At 41.9% G+C, this 16142-nt stretch overlaps 1 protein-coding gene across 24 annotated transcripts in view; it reads right to left on the bottom strand.

Annotated features, from left to right (window-relative positions):
- Positions 1–16142, bottom strand: part of DOCK3 (dedicator of cytokinesis 3) — a 709272-nt gene that overhangs the window by 179442 nt on the left and 513688 nt on the right. The gene's annotated exons all lie outside the window — the stretch shown is intronic.

The following is a 16142-nucleotide window of genomic DNA, read 5'->3' as shown; positions in this document are numbered from 1 at the left end:
CAAGTCTTTGCTATTGTGAATAGTGCCGCAATAAACATACATGTGCATGTGTCTTTATAGCAGCATGATTTATAGTCCTTTGGGTATATACCCAGTAATGGGATGGCTGGGTCAAATGGTATTTCTAGTTCTAGATCCCTGAGGAATCGCCACACTGACTTCCACAATGGTTGAACTAGTTTACAGTCCCACCAACAGTGTAAAAGTATTCCTATTTCTCCACATCCTCTCCAGCACCTGTTGTTTCCTGACTTTTTAATGATTGCCATTCTAACTGGTGTGAGATGATATCTCATTGTGGTTTTGATTTGCATTTCTCTGATGGCCAGTGATGGTGAGCATTTTTTCATGTGTTTTTTGGCTGCATAAATGTCTTCTTTTGAGAAGTGTCTGTTCATATCCTTCGCCCACTTTTTGATGGGGTTGTTTGTTTTTTTCTTGTAAATTTGTTTGAGTTCATTGTAGATTCTGGATATTAGCCCTTTGTCAGATGAGTAGGTTGTGAAAATTTTCTCCCATTTTGTGGGTTGCCTGTTCACTCTGATGGTAGTTTCTTTTGCTGTGCAGAAGCTCTTTAGTTTAATTAGATCCCATTTGTCAATTTTGGCTTTTGTTGCCATTGCTTTTGGTGTTTTAGACATGAAGTCCTTGCCCATGCCTATGTCCTGAATGGTAATGCCTAGGTTTTCTTCTAGGGTTTTTATGGTTTTAGGTCTAACGTTTAAGTCTTTAATCCATCTTGAATTGATTTTTGTATAAGGTGTAAGGAAGGGATCCAGTTTCAGCTTTCTACATATTGCTAGCCAATTTTCCCAGCACCATTTATTAAATAGGGAATCCTTTCCCCATTGCTTGTTTTTGTCAGGTTTGTCAAAGATCAGATAGTTGTAGATACGCGGAGTTATTTCTGAGGGCTCTGTTCTGTTCCATTGATCTATATCTCTGTTTTGGTACCAGTACCATGCTGTTTTGGTTACTGTAGCCTTGTAGTATAATTTGAAGTCAGGTAGCGTGATGCCTCCAGCTTTGTTCTTTTGGCTTAGGATTGACTTGGCAATGCAGGCTCTTTTTTGGTTCTATATGAACTTTAAAGTAGTTTTTTCCAATTCTGTGAAGAAAGTCATTGGTAGCTTGATGGGGATGGCATTGAATCTATAAATTACCTTGGGCAGTATGGCCATTTTCACAGTATTGATTCTTCCTATCCATGAGCATGGAATGTTCTTCCATTTGTTTGTATCCTCTTTAATTTCACTGAGCAGTGGTTTGTAGTTCTCCTTGAAGAGGTCCTTCACGTCCCTTGTAAGGTGGATTCCTAGGTATTTTATTCTCTTTGAAGCAATTGTGAATGGGAGTTTACTCATGATTTGGCTCTCTGTCTGTTATTGGTGTATAAGAATGCTTGTGATTTCTGTACATTGATTTTGTATCCTGAGACCTTGCTGAATTTGCTTATCAGCTTAAGGAGATTTTGGGCTGAGACAATGGGGTTTTCTAGATATACAATCATGTCATCTGCAAACAGGGACAATTTGACTTCCTCTTTTCCTAATTGAATACCCTTTATTTCCTTCTCCTGCCTAATTGCCCTGGCCAGAACTTCCAACACTATGTTGAATAGGAGTGGTGAGAGAGGGCATCCCTGTCTTGTGCCAGTTTTCAAAGGGAATGCTTCCAGTTTTTGCCCGTTCAATATGATATTGGCTGTGGGTTTGTGATAGATAGCTCTTATTATTTTGAGATAGGTCCCATCAATACCTAATTTATTGAGAGTCTTTAGCATGAAGGGCTGTTGAATTTTGTCAAAGGACTTTTCTGCATCTATTGAGATAATCATGTGGTTTTTGTCTTTGGTTCTGTTTATATGCTGGATTACATTTATTGATTTGTGTATATTGAACCAGCCTTGCATCCCAGCATGAAGCCCACTTGATCATGGTGGATAAGCTTTTTGATGTGCTGCTGGATTCGGTTTGCCAGTATTTTATTGAGGATTTTTGCATCAATGTTCATCAAGGATATTGGTCTAAAATTCTCTTTTTTGGTTGTGTCTCTGCCAGGCTTTGGTATCCGGATGATGCTGGCCTCATAAAATGAGTTAGGGAGGATTCCCTCTTTTTCTATTGTTTGGAATAGTTTCAGAAGGAATGGTACCAGTTCCTCCTTGTACCTCTGGTAGAATTCGGCTGTGAATCCATCTGGTCCTGGACTCTTTTTGGTTGGCAAGCTATTGATTATTGCCACAATTTCAGCTCCTGTTATTGGTCTATTCAGAGATTCAACTTCTTCCTGGTTTAGTCTTGGGAGGGTGTATATGTTGAGGAATTTATCCATTTCTTCTAGATTTTCTAGTTTATTTGCGTAGAGGTGTTTGTAGTATTCTCTGATGGTAGTTTGTATTTCTGTGGGATCGGTGGTGATATCCCCTTTATCATTTTTTATTGCATCTATTTGATTCTTCTCTCTTTTTTTCTTTATTAGTCTTGCTAGCAGTCTATCAATTTTGTTGATTCTTTCAAAAAACCAGCTCCTGGATTCATTAATTTTTTGAAGGGTTTTTTGTGTCTCTATTTCCTTCAGTTCTGCTCTTAGTTATTTCTTGCCTTCTGCTAGCTTTTGAATGTGTTTGCTCTTGCTTCTCTAGTTCTTTTAATTGTGATGTTAGGGTGTCAATTTTGGATCTTTCCTGCTTTCTTTTGTGGGCATTGAATGCTATAAATTTCCCTCTACACACTGCTTTAAATGTGTCCCAGAGATTCTGGTATGTTGTGTCTTTGTTCTCATTGGTTTCAAAGAACATCTTTATTTCTGCCTTCATTTCTTTATGTACCCAGTAGTCATTCAGGAGCAGGTTGTTCAGTCTCCATGTAGTTGAGCAGTTTTGAGTGAGTTTCTTAATCCTGAGTTCTAGTTTGATTGCACTGTGGTCTGAGAGACAGTTTGTTATAATTTCTGTTCTTTTACATTTGCTGAGGAGTGCTTTTCTTCCAACTATGTGGTCAATTTTGGAATAGGTGTGGTGTGGTGCTGAAAAAAATGTATATTCTGTTGATTTGGGGTGGAGAGTTCTGTAGATGTCTATTAGGTCTGCTTGGTGCGGAGCTGAGTTCAATTCCTGGGTATCCTTGTTGACTTTCTGTCTTGTTGATCTGTCTAATGTTGACAGTGGGCTGTTAAAGTCTCCCATTATTAATGTGTGGGAGTCTAAGTCTCTTTGTAGGTCACTCAGGACTTGCTTTATGTGTCTGGGTGCTCCTGTATTGGGTGCATATATATTTAGGATAGTTAGCTCTTCTTGTTGAATTGATCCCTTTACCATTATTGTAATGGCCTTGTCTCTTTTGATCTTTGTTGGTTTAAAGTCTGTTTTATCAGAGACTAGGATTGCAACCCCTTCCTTTTTTTGTTTTCCATTTGCTTGGTAGATCTTCCTCCATCCTTTTATTTTGAGCCTATGTGTGTCTCTGCACGTGAGATGGGTTTCCTGAATACAGCACACTGATGGGTCTTGACTCTTTATCCAATTTGCCAGTCTGTGTCTTTTAATTGGAGCATTTAGTCCATTTACATTTAAAGTTAATATTGTTATGTGTGAATTTGATCCTGTCATTATGATGTTAGCTGGTTATTTTGCTCATTAGTTGATGCAGTTTCTTCCTAGTCTCGATGGTCTTTACATTTTGGCATGATTTTGCAGCGGCTGGTACCGGTTGTTCCTTTCCATGTTTAGTGCTTCCCTCAGGAGCTCTTTTAGGGCAGGCCTGGTGGTGACAAAATCTCTCAGCATTTGCTTGTCTGTAAAGGATTTTATTTCTCCTTCACTTATGAAGCTTAGTTTGGCTGCATATGAAATTTGTGGTTGAAAATTCTTTTCGGTAAGAATGTTGAATATTGGCCCCCACTCTCTTCTGGCTTGTAGAGTTTCTGCCAAGAGATCCGCTGTTAGTCTGATGGGCTTCCCTTTGTGGGTAACCCGACCTTTCTCTCTGGCTGCCCTTAACATTTTTTCCTTCATTTCAACTTTGGTGAATCTGACAATTATGTGTCTTGGAGTTGCTCTTCTCGAGGAGAATCTTTGTGGCGTTCTCTGTCTATTTCCTGAACCTGAATGTTGGCCTGCCTTGCTAGATTGGGGAAGTTCTCCTGGATAATATTCTGCAGAGTGTTTTCCCGCTTGGTTCCATTCTCCCCGTCACTTTCAGGTACACCAATCAGACGTAGATTTGGTCTTTTCACATAGTCCCATATTTCTTGGAGGCTTTGTTTGTTTCTTTTTATTCTTTTTTCTCTAAACTTCCCTTCTCGCTTCATTTCATCTTCCATCACTGATACCCTTTCTTCCAGTTGATCGCATCGGCTCCTGAGGCTTCTGCATTCTTCACGTTGTTCTCGAGCCTTGGCTTTCAGCTCCATCAGCTCCTTAAGCACTTCTCTGTATTGGTTATTGTAGTTATACATTCGTCTAAATTTTTTTCAAAGTTTTTAACTTCTTTGCCTTTGGTTTGAATTTCCTCCTGTAGCTCGTAGTTTGATTGTCTGAAGCCTTCTTCTCTCAACTCGTCAAAGTCATTCTCCAACCAGCTTTGTTCCATTGTTGGTGAGGAACTGCGATCCTTTGAAGGAGGAGAGGTGCTCTGCTTTTTTAGAGTTTCCAGTTTTTCTGCTCTGTTTTTTCCCCATCTTTGTGGTTTTATCTACTTTTGGTCTTTGATGATGGTGATGTACAGATGGGTTTTTGGTGTGGATGTCCTTTCTGTTTGTTAGTTTTCCTTCTAACAGACGGGACCCTCAGCTGCAGGTCTGTTGGAGTTTGCTAGAGGTCCACTCCAGACCCTGTTTGCCTGGGTATCAGCAGCGGTGTCTGCAGAACAGTGGTTTTTCGTGAACCGCGAATGCTGCTGTCTGATCGTTCTTCTGGAAGTTTTGTCTCAGAGGAGTACCTGGCCGTGTGAGGTGTCAGTCTGCCCCTACTGGGGGGTGCCTCCCAGTTAGGCTGCTCAGGGGTCAGGGACCCACTTGAGGAGGCAGTCTGCCCATTCTCAGATCTCCAGCTGCGTGCTGGGAGAACCACTGCTCTCTTCAAAGCTGTCAGACAGGGACATTTAAGTCTGCAGAGGTTACTGCTGTCTTTTTGTTTGTCTGTGCCCTGCCCCCAGAGGTGGAGCCTACAGACGCAGGCAGGCCTCCTTGAGCTGTGGTGGGCTCCACCCAGTTGGAGCTTCCTGGCTGCTTTGTTTACTTACACAAGCCTGGGCAATGGCGGGCGCCCCTCCCCCAGCCTCGCTGCCGCCTTGCAGTTTGATCTCAGACTGCTGTGCTAGCAATCAGCGAGACTCCGTGGGTGTAGGACCCTCCGAGCCAGGTGCAGGATATAATCTCCTGATGTGTCGTTTTTTAAGCCCATCGGAAAAGCGCAGTATTTGGGTGGGAGTGACCCGATTTTCCAGGTGCCGTCTGTCACCCCTTTCTTTGACTAGGAAACGGAACTCCCTGACCCCTTGCGCTTCCCGAGTAATGCAATGCCTCGCCCTGCTTTGGCTCACGCACGGTGTGCTGCACCCACTGACCTGCGCCCATTGTCTGGCACTCCCTAGTGAGATGAACCCGGTACCTCAGATGGAAATGCAGAAATCACCCGTCTTCTGTGTCGCTGACGCTGGGAGCTGTAGACCGGAGGTGTTCCTACTCGGCCATCTCGGCTCCTCCCCTCTTTTTTTTTCTTTTATTGAGTCGGAGTCTCCCTCTGTTGCCCAGGCTGGAGTGCAATGGCACGTCTTCGGGTCACTGCAACCTCCACCTCCCTGGTTTCAAGCGATTCTCATGCCTCAGCCTCCTGAGTAGCTGGGATTACAGGCACCCACTGCCACACTTGGCTAATTTTTGTATTTTTAGTACAGACAGGCTTTCACCATGTTGTCCAGGCTGGTCTTGAACCCCTGACCCAAGTGATCCGCCTGACTCAGCCTCCCAAAGTGCTAGGATTACAGGCATGAGCAGTGGCTCACTACACACAGCCTAGATGTGCACCTTCTAAAGCTATTCTTACTCACAATTCCTTAGTTTGAATTCGTATAAAGAGCAAGCGGGTTTTCAAACCCACAGAAATGCACACAGATTGTATTAGTCATAGTCTCACTAGCTCCATCCCTCCCTTTCCCTGTTTTTTTTTTTTTTTTTGGTGACCTGTCAGTGAATGATAAATAATAATATCACATTCAAAAGAAACCCCACTGCTCTGTATCCTCTGCTCTAAGAGGCCCAAGTGGCTCTGTTGCAGTCTCTGTCACTCTTTGACTTGAAGTTAGTGGGAGATCCCTAGGAAGATGTTGGGACATCCTGGAAGCGGGAAAATGAGGCCAGACCTGTCTGCTCTTCCCTGCTGGGTTTTGTCACTTCACAAACCATGTTCAAAGAATTGTCCCTGAATCCCAGAACAAGGAGGTAAAGAGAACAGAGTGAAAAGCACCCGTGGTTAAGCAGTTCTGCAGGTGTGCAAGGTGCAGAAGCAGGTTCACCAAGAGGTGGATAACTTTCCTGGGTCTATTTGCTTCTCCAACTTCCCCTGACATCTCATCCCTGAAGTGTCTGAGGAGCAAGGCATCATTTTCAAACGCAGCCTTTGGCAGACTGCTTGCTGTCCTGCAGCCCAGTAGTGCCAGGACTGAGGCATGACAGAAACTCGAGCTGTCGCTAATGGGACTGGGGAGTATGCTGGAAGCATACCTACAGCCAGAGCTAAGAAGCAAGTAAGGCATGGGGTGAAGCTGTTGGTGCTGAGAAGTGAGTGCCACCAGGATGGAGACTGGGATGCAAGTGGGGTAAAATTTGCCACTGGGACTTGATCACCAGTTGGGTGGGGCTCCTGCAGCTGAGGTGGGCTACCCCTGCCAGGGCCAGGGAGCAAGCCCCATTGGGACTAAGGTGTGAGGAATGTGCATTCCCACCCGCTGGCCCAGGCTCTGGTCACCAAGAATGACCCCACCCTCTATTGTGACAGGGTGTTAGCATAGCTGCTAACACCCCTCACCTGAGCACTCCACCTGGGGCCTGCGGAGTGCCCTGTCCATGATGGCTGGTGCTGTTCTCACCATTTGAAGGTCTGAGCATGAGCCTACCTAGTCCAGCTTCACTCTCTGCTCTGTGACAGAGAACACAGACCAGGGTCCTGGCAAATACCCAACACAACCACTTTGGGCACCTGAGTACTTCTCCTAAACTCCTGGCTGCTATCACTTCATCTGGCATCTGCCTGCATGTGCCACCCGAGTTCCTGGAGATTGGGCTACCCAGCCCATCAGAGCCACCACCAACATCAACGCACATCACTCAGGACCCAGAGAGTTGTCCCACTACCGCTACTGCTATCACTCATGCCATGTAGCTGCTCAGGAACCTGAGACTCTGCCCACTTGTGCAATCCACCACTGCCACTACCAGCATCTAAGCAAGCCATGTGGAGGCCCACCAACTGACCCACCAATAATTGCCAACATGGCTGCCAGTGTACACTGCCCAGTGACACTATCACTGGCCCACCTGGCATCCTAGTCCCCAGCACAACTTCCCCACAGCCTTAACTAACAACTGTACCGTAACCTATCCAGGAAATCACAGATGCCACTAATGCTGTTTACAGCCAAAGAAATCATACAGAGATGACACTACTGCACACACCAGAGTCAAAGCCAAAGTACCCTACCCAACCAACACCATAGACACATCTTTAGGAAAAGGTCTTTCCCTACTAAAGTAAATTCAAAAACAGGAAGAAGTGACTGTTACTCCAGATACACAGATTTCAATGTAATGACACAGGAAACATGAAAAAGCAAGGAAATATGACACTTCCAAAGGAACATAATAAGTATCCAAAAATAGATCTTAATCCAAGAAATTTTTGAAATCCCAGATAAAGAATTCAAAATTTTGATTTTACAGAAGCTCAGTGAGATACAAGCGAATCCAGAAAAACAATTCAGGATATGAATGAGAAATTTACCAAAGACATAGTTTTTTAAAGCACCAGATAGAAATTCTGCAATTGAAGAATTTACTATAGGAACTACAAATTACATTTGAAAGCTTCTGTAATAGACTAGAATAGGCAGAAGAATCTCAGAACATGAATACAAATCTTTTGAAATAATCCTGTCAGACAAAAATAAAGAAAAAGGAATAAAAAAGACTGAGCAAAGCCTTTGTGACAATTAAATATTAAAATTATCAATATCCACAAGTTCAAAGAGACAAAGACAGGATTGGAAAATGTATTTAACCAAACAAAAATGAAAACACCTCAAGTCTAGCAAGAGATTTAGACATTTCAGATACAAGAGACTCAGCAATCCCTGGGAAAATACAATGCAAAAAGGTCGTCTCCACAGCACATTATAGTTAGACTGCCTAAAATCAAAGATGAAGAGCAAATCCCAAAAACAGCAAGAGATAATCATCTATTCACATATTCACAGGCCAGAAGAGAATGGGATAATATATTTAAATAACTAAAAGAAAAAAGTCTGGCCAAATGCAGTGGCTCATGCCTGTAATCACAGCACTTTGGGAGGCTGAGGCAGGAGGCCTACTTGAGTCCAGGAGTTTGAGAACAGCCTACGCAGCATGACAAGAACCAATCTTTGAAAAAAAAAAAAAAATTAGCTGGGCGTGGTGAAGTGTGCCTGAAGTCTTAGCAACATGGGAGGCTGAGGCAGGAAGATTGCTTGAGCCTGGGAAGTTGAGGCTGCAGTGAGCTGTATTTACACCACTGCACTCCCACCTGGGTGACAGAGTGAGACCTTGTTTCAAAAAAAACAAAAAACAACAAAAAAAGGAAGAATAAAAGAAAAAAAATCTGACAGCTAAGAATGCTATACATGCAAAATTATCCTTCATAAGTGAAAGAGAAATAAAATCTTTTCCAGACAAGCAAATACTAAGGGGATTCATTGCCCCTGGACTGGCCCTACAAAAAAATTCTCATGAGAGTCCTAAACCTGGAAGTGAAAGGATGACATTTACCAAGATGAAAATACACAAAATGGCCAGGCGCAGTGGCTCAGGCCTGTAATCCCAGAACTTTGGGAGGCCGAGGCGGGCAGATCACCTGAGGTCAGGAGTTTGAGACTAGCCTGGCCAACATGGTGACATCCCGTCTCTATTAAAAATACAAAAAAAATTAGCTGAGCGTGATGGCACGCATCTGTAATCTCAGCTACTTGGGAGGCTGTGGCAGGAGAATCAGTTGAACCCAGGAAGTGGAGGCTGCAGTGAGCCGAGATCTCACCACTGCACTCCAGCCTGGGTGACAGAGCAAGACTCTGTCTCAAAAAAACAAAAAAAGAAAAGAAAACATACAAAAATATAAATCTCTTTGGCAAAGTAATCACACAGAGAAAGAACTCAAATGGTACCACTGCAGACGTCCAGCAAACCACAACAACCAGTAAAAGAAAAAGGAACCAAATTATATAAAAAAGTCAGAAAACAATTAATAAATGACAGAAACAAAGCACCACATATCAATAATGACACTGATCAAAAATAGATTAAATTTTCCACTTTGCAGATACAGAATGGCTGAATAGATTTTTAAAAACCCACAATCCGACTATTTGCTGTTTACAAAAAACTCGGGCCAGGCGCAGTGGCTCATGCCTGTAATCCCAGCATTTTGGGAGTTCAAGGTGGGCGGATCATGAGGTCAAGAGATCGAGACCATCCTGGCCAACATGGTGAAACCCCGTCTCTACTAAAAATACAAAAAAATTAGCTGGGTGTGGTGGCACATGCCTGTAGTCCCAGCTACTTGGGAGGCTGAGGCAAGAGAATCACTTGAACTCGGGAGGCAGAGGTTGCAGTGAACCGATATCGCATCACTGCACTGCAGCCTGGTGACAGAGCGAGACTCTGTCTCAAAAAAAAAAAAAAAAAAAAAGATATTCACCTTAGCAGTAAAGACACATACAGACTGAAAATGAAAATAAAGAAATGAAAACAAGATATTCTCTGCAAATAGAAACCAAAAGCGAGTAGGGATAACTATACTTATACTAGAGAAAACAGACTTTAAGTCAAGAACAGTAAAAAGAAACAAAGAAGGTCATTATATAATGATAAAGGGATCAATCCAGCAAGATGATAAAAAATTCTAAATATATATGTAACCAACATTGGAACACCTGGATTCATAAAGAAAATATCATTAAAGCTAAAGAGAGAGATAAACTGCAAAACAATAATAGTTGGGGACTTCAACATTCCACTCTCAGCATTACACAGATAATCTAGACAAAAAAATCAACAAAGAAACATTGGCTTTAAGTTGCACTTTAGACCCAATGGAGCTAACTGACATTTCAGAACATTCTACCCAACGACTGCAGAATATACATTCTTTTCATCAGCACAAAGAACATTCTCCAGTATAGACCAAATGTTAGGCCACAAAACAAGCCTCAACTCACTTAAAAAAATCAAAATCATATCAAGTATCTTCTCAAACCACAATGGAATAAAACTAGAAATCAAAGCCAAGAGGAACTTTGGAAACTACATAAATACATAGAAATTAAACAACATACTCCTAAATGACCATTGGGTCACCAAGGACATTAAGATGGAAATAAAAAAAAATCTCAAAATAAACGAAAACAGGAACACAACATACCAAACCTGTAGGACATAGTAAAAGCAGTGCTAAGAGGGAATTTTATAGTAATAAATGCCTACATAAAATAGTTGAAAGATTACAAATTAACAATCTAACAATGTATCTCAAGGAACTAAAAAAGCAAGAACAAATGAAACCCAAAACTAGCAGAAGAAAAGAGCAAAATGAAATAGAGACTGAAGAAAAACAAAACAAAGGATCAACAAAAAGAAAAGCTGGTTCTTCAAAAAGATAAACAAAACTGATAAACTGCTAGCTAGACTAACCAAGAAAAAAAAAAAAAAAAGAGAGAAGCCCCCAAATAAAATCAGAAAAAACAAAGAAGACATTACAACTGATACTACAGAAATGCAAAGAATCATTAGAGACTATTATAAACAACTACATGCTGACAAACTGAAACACCTAGAGAAAATAAATAAATTCCTAAAAACATACAACCTATCAAGATTGAATTGGAAAGAAAGAAAAACCCTGAATAGACCAATAATGCATAGCAAGATTATATCAGTAATTAAAAAGCCTCCTGAGAAAGAAAAGCCCAGGACCAGATGGATACACAGCCAAATTCTACCAAACGTAAAAAGAACTAATACCAATTGTCTTGAAACTACTTCAAAAATTGAAAAGGACAGAATTCTCTCTAATTCATCCTACAAGATCATCACTACTCTGATACCAAAACCAGGCAAGAACACAACAACAACAACGAAAACTATATGTCAATATCCCTGGTAAACACAGATGCTAACATCCTAAACAAAATACTAGCAAACACAATCTAAGAGCCAATCAAAAAGTTAATACATTATGATCAAGTTGCATTTATACCAGGGATTCAAAAATGGTTCAACATAAGTAAATCAATAAACATGATACATCAAATCAACAGAATAAAGGACAAAAATCATATTATTATCTAGACAAATGTAGAAGAAAATTTGATAAAATTCAACATCCCTTCATGATAAAAACTCTCACAAAACTAGGCATAGAAAGAGCATATCTGAAAATAATAAAGGCCACATACAACAAACCCATAACTACCATCACACTGAATAGGGAAATATCTGAAAGCCTATCCTCTAAGAACTGGAACAAGACAAAGTTATCCACCTTCACCATTCCTATTCAATATTGTACTGAAAGTCCTAGCCAGAGAAATCAGGCAAGAGAAAAAAACTAACCGGCATCCAAGTTGGATGAGTTAGCCCGAGTTAGCTAGTAGACTTCTGTGAAGTCCCCTGTGATGGAGAATCAGGAATGGCTTCCCTTGGTTCAAGCTGGAGACTGGGAATGACCACAAGGCTGGGCACCTGACTCCTGCACTTGTAGCTACTGCACACTTCCCATTTGCCCCTGGTTCTGGCCAAGAGAATTCATCCCCACTCAAGATTATATCACAAATTTCAGATGGGAGCTTCTCTCAACCTGTGACTGCTGCCTGAGTTAGCTAGCAGACTTCCGTGAGGTCTCCTGTGATGTAGAATGAGGAATGGTTTCCCTTGATTCAAGCTGAAGACTGGGAATGCTCACAAAGTTCTTTCTCTGCTGCTCCTACTTTTTTATTCTTCACCACTCCCTAAATAGTTCCAGTGCTGGGTGGGGTTAAGGCCTTCCTCTGTGGGCTGAATTGTGAGGCATTGGCATCTGTGTTTATCAGGGATATTGACCTGTTAGTTTTCTTTTTTTCTTGTGGAGTTATTGCCTGGTATTGCTATCAGGGTGGTGATGATCTTGTAGGATGAATTAGAGAGAGTTCCGTCCTCTTCAATTTTTTTTGGAACAAGCAGAAGAATGCAACAGGACACCTATTTCTCACCATATACCAAAAAAATCAACACATAATGGATTAAAGACTTAAACATAAGACCTGAAACTATAAACATAATAGAAGTTTGAAAACCTAGGGAAAATGCTGCTGGAAATTGGTCTAGGCAAAAAGTTTAAGATCTCAAAAGGCAACAAAAACAAAAATAGATAACTGGTAGTATATTAAACTAAAAAGCTTCTGCACAGCAAAAGGGGATGTTGTGTAAGTAGTTTGGAAATATTTTTCCCTTTCAAGAGGTTGTCTGTTTACTCTAGCAAACCAGAAGCAAACCTGAGTAAACAGACAACCTGTTGAATGGGAAAAATATTTCCAAACTACTTGTACAACAAGGGACTAATATTTCCAAACTACTTATACAACAAGGGACTAATATTCAGAGTAGACAAGGAACTCAAACAACTCAGCAGGAAAAACAAGCTAATAATCCCATAAAAGTGGGCAAAGAGTTTTTGTGTGTTTTTTCCTCCCAAGATGGCAGATTGGAGGTAGTGTCAGCACGTCTCTTCCACTTGGAAAGACAATAGTGCATAGAGATTCACACTGAACTTTTTTTCAAGAAGCAACACAAGAACTGAACAGGAAAGCTTAAAGAAACCACAGACCCTTTAAAAGAAGTGGCAAGCTGCAAATTATATCATGAGGCAGGTATAATTGACACCAAATCCTCAGAGTGTGAGAAGGGGAGACACTGCCTCTAGGATATACACCACCACTGGGAACCTGGCAATTCAGCCCACAGGGGAAGGCCTTAATCCTACCCAGTGCTGGAACTGATTTACGGAGTGGTGACGAATATAAAAGTAGGAGCAGCAGGGAAAGAGCCTTGTGAGCATTCCCAGTCTTCAGCTTGGACCAAGGGAAGCCATTCCTCATTCTACGTCACAGGGGACCTCACGGAAGTCTGCTAGCTAACTCAGGCAGTAGTCTCAGGTTAACAGAAGCTCCCAACTGAAATTTGTGATATAATCTTGAGTGGAGATAAACTCCCTTGCCCAGAACCAGGGGACAGGCGGGAAGTGTGCTGTAGCTAGGAGTGCAGGAGCCAGGTGCCCCAGCTTTGTGGGAGTGGACTGGGAGGGGTGTAGCGTGAAAGCCCTGATTGCTGTCTCCACAGGGAAGATTTATAGCCTGGGACAGTTTCGAGTTCTGAGTGTAGACAGCCTGGAACTTAGCTAGCTGCTACTAATGGATCACTGCAGGTATGAGACCTGCCTTGCCAACTATGTAAGAGCTGGGTGGGGCTTACTCTCACCTACTACTTTCCATTCCTTCCGAAATCTCTTCTGTGCAGCAGAGGCAGTGACCTTCCTCCATGGAACATTACCTCAGTGGCCAGTAAACCACCTGCAGAGGTGGTGATCTCCACAGAGATCTCTGTGATCTCCATAGAGGCCAGTGCTTGCCCTGCAAGTGGAGAGCCAGGGTGTGGACCTACCTGACCCAGCTCCCACCTGGCTTTGTCCCTCCACCCACCCTGGTAGCATAACACAAAGAACAGAAACTTTTGGGAGCTCTCTAGCCTCACCCCTCACCTGAGAAACCAGAATACCTCTCCTGGGTAACATAAGGCAAGCACAAATCCCACTGCTACTACAGCAGGTGGTGCTCTTTTCCTAGTGCCATCTCCTAGCTGGGAGGCCAAATGACACAGTTCATTGCAGAATCTGCAGATAGAATAACACTGTGTCCAGAAAGGAGAAAACTTGTATGTTACCTCAGGTATTACCATTGCCTGCACCACCCCGGCTAACCAGGAGGTCCTGAGTCTGTCCCAGTGACCAGTTCATTACTACTATAACTGGCATCTGAGAAAGTCAACACACTAAGGCTATTTATAACCAAGGAATCTCACAGAGTTTACATCACTCCTCTGCCACCCCTATCAGAGCTGGTGCTGATAGCTGCTGGTGGGAGACTTGAGGACAGGTCATATCACTGGATCTCTTGCATAGGTTCACCAGCACCAGCCTGCAGTATGGCAGTCCCACTGGGCAGCTAGACCCAGAGAGCAGTAGCATTCACAGCAATCTAGCTCTAAGGGACTCTTACTCTTATGGAAAGGGGGAGTACATCACATCAAGGGAATACCCTGTGGGACAAAAGAATCCAGATGGCAGGCCTTGAGTCTCAGATCTTTCCAATGGTGGGAAGTTTCCTTCAGCAGAGGCATAGTTGAAGTGCTGGGCTTAGTGGGGAAAGTCTGTGGCTGTACCCCAACAGTCAGAAAGCCTTTGCGCTTGTGAAGCGTCCTGAGAAGGATATATCTTTTCCCCCTCATCACCACTACAGACACATTTGAGGCTTCTCCCATGTGAGCTCGGTGTGAGTGGACCTATTGAAAGCCTTTCTGGAATGTGGTGAAAAGGGAATGCTTATACACTGCTGGTGGGATTAGTACAACTTCTATGGAAAACAGTATGGGGATTTCTTAAAGAACTAAAAGTAGATCTACCATTTCATCAAAAAATTCCACAACTGGGTATTTACCCAGAGGAAAAGAAGTCAATATACCAAAAAGACACTTGCATATGTAAGTTTATTGCAGTACAATTAACAACTGCAAAGATATGGAACCAACCTAAGTGCCCATAAACCAATGAGTGGGTAAAGAAAATGTAGTATATATACACCATGGAATACTACTTGGCTAAAAAAGAAATGAAATAATGTCTTTTGCAGAAACTTGGATAGAGCTAAAGCCCTTATTGTAAGTGAAGTAACTCAGGAATGAGAAACCAAATACTGTATGTTCTTACTTATAAGTGGGACCTAAGCTTTGGTAAGCAAAGGCATAAGGAGTGATATAATGAACTTTAGAGACTCAGAAAGGGGAGGGTGGGAGAGAGATGAGGAATAAAAAATCTACACATTGGATACAATGTACACTACTCGGGTGATGGGTGCACAAAAATCTGACTTCACCACTATACAATTCATCCATGTAACCCAAAACCACCTGTACCCCAAAAGCTATTGAAATAAAAAAAAAATAGTGGGCAAAGAATCTGAACAGAATTTCTCAAAAGAAGACATACAAATGGTCAACAGATAAATGCAAAAATGTTCAACATCACTAATCATCAGGCAAATGTAAATCAAAACCACAATGAGCTATCATCTTATCCCAGTCAGAAAAAGAAAAAAATAACAGATGTTTGCATGGATGCAGAGAAAAGGGAACTCTTATACACTACTGGTGGGAATGTAAACTAGTACAGCCACTATGGAAAACAGTATGGAGATTTCTCAAAAAACTAAAAACAGAATTACCATTTGATCCAGCAATCCCACTACTGACTGTCTACCCAGAGAAAAAGAAATCAATATGTCAAAGGGATATCTGAACTCACATGTTTATTGCAGCACTATTCACAATAGCAAAGATATGGAATCAATCTAAGTGTTCAATGAATGAACAGATAAGAAAAGAAAATGTGATACACACACCCACACCCCCACATCCCCCGACACAAAATACTATTCAGCCATTGAAAAGAATAAAACCATGTTACCTTTAGTAACATGGATGGAACCAGAGGTCATTGTTTTAAATGAAATGAGGCATGAAAAGACATTCTCACTTACATGTGGGAACTAAAACATTTGATCACATGCATGTAGTGAATGGAAAGATAAATA

The sequence above is a fragment of the Homo sapiens genome, chromosome 3 (assembly GCF_000001405.40).
Source record: "Homo sapiens chromosome 3, GRCh38.p14 Primary Assembly".
NCBI lineage: Eukaryota > Metazoa > Chordata > Mammalia > Primates > Hominidae > Homo > Homo sapiens.
Note: the sequence above shows the minus strand (reverse complement) of the source record. Positions and strands in the feature narration are given on the sequence as shown.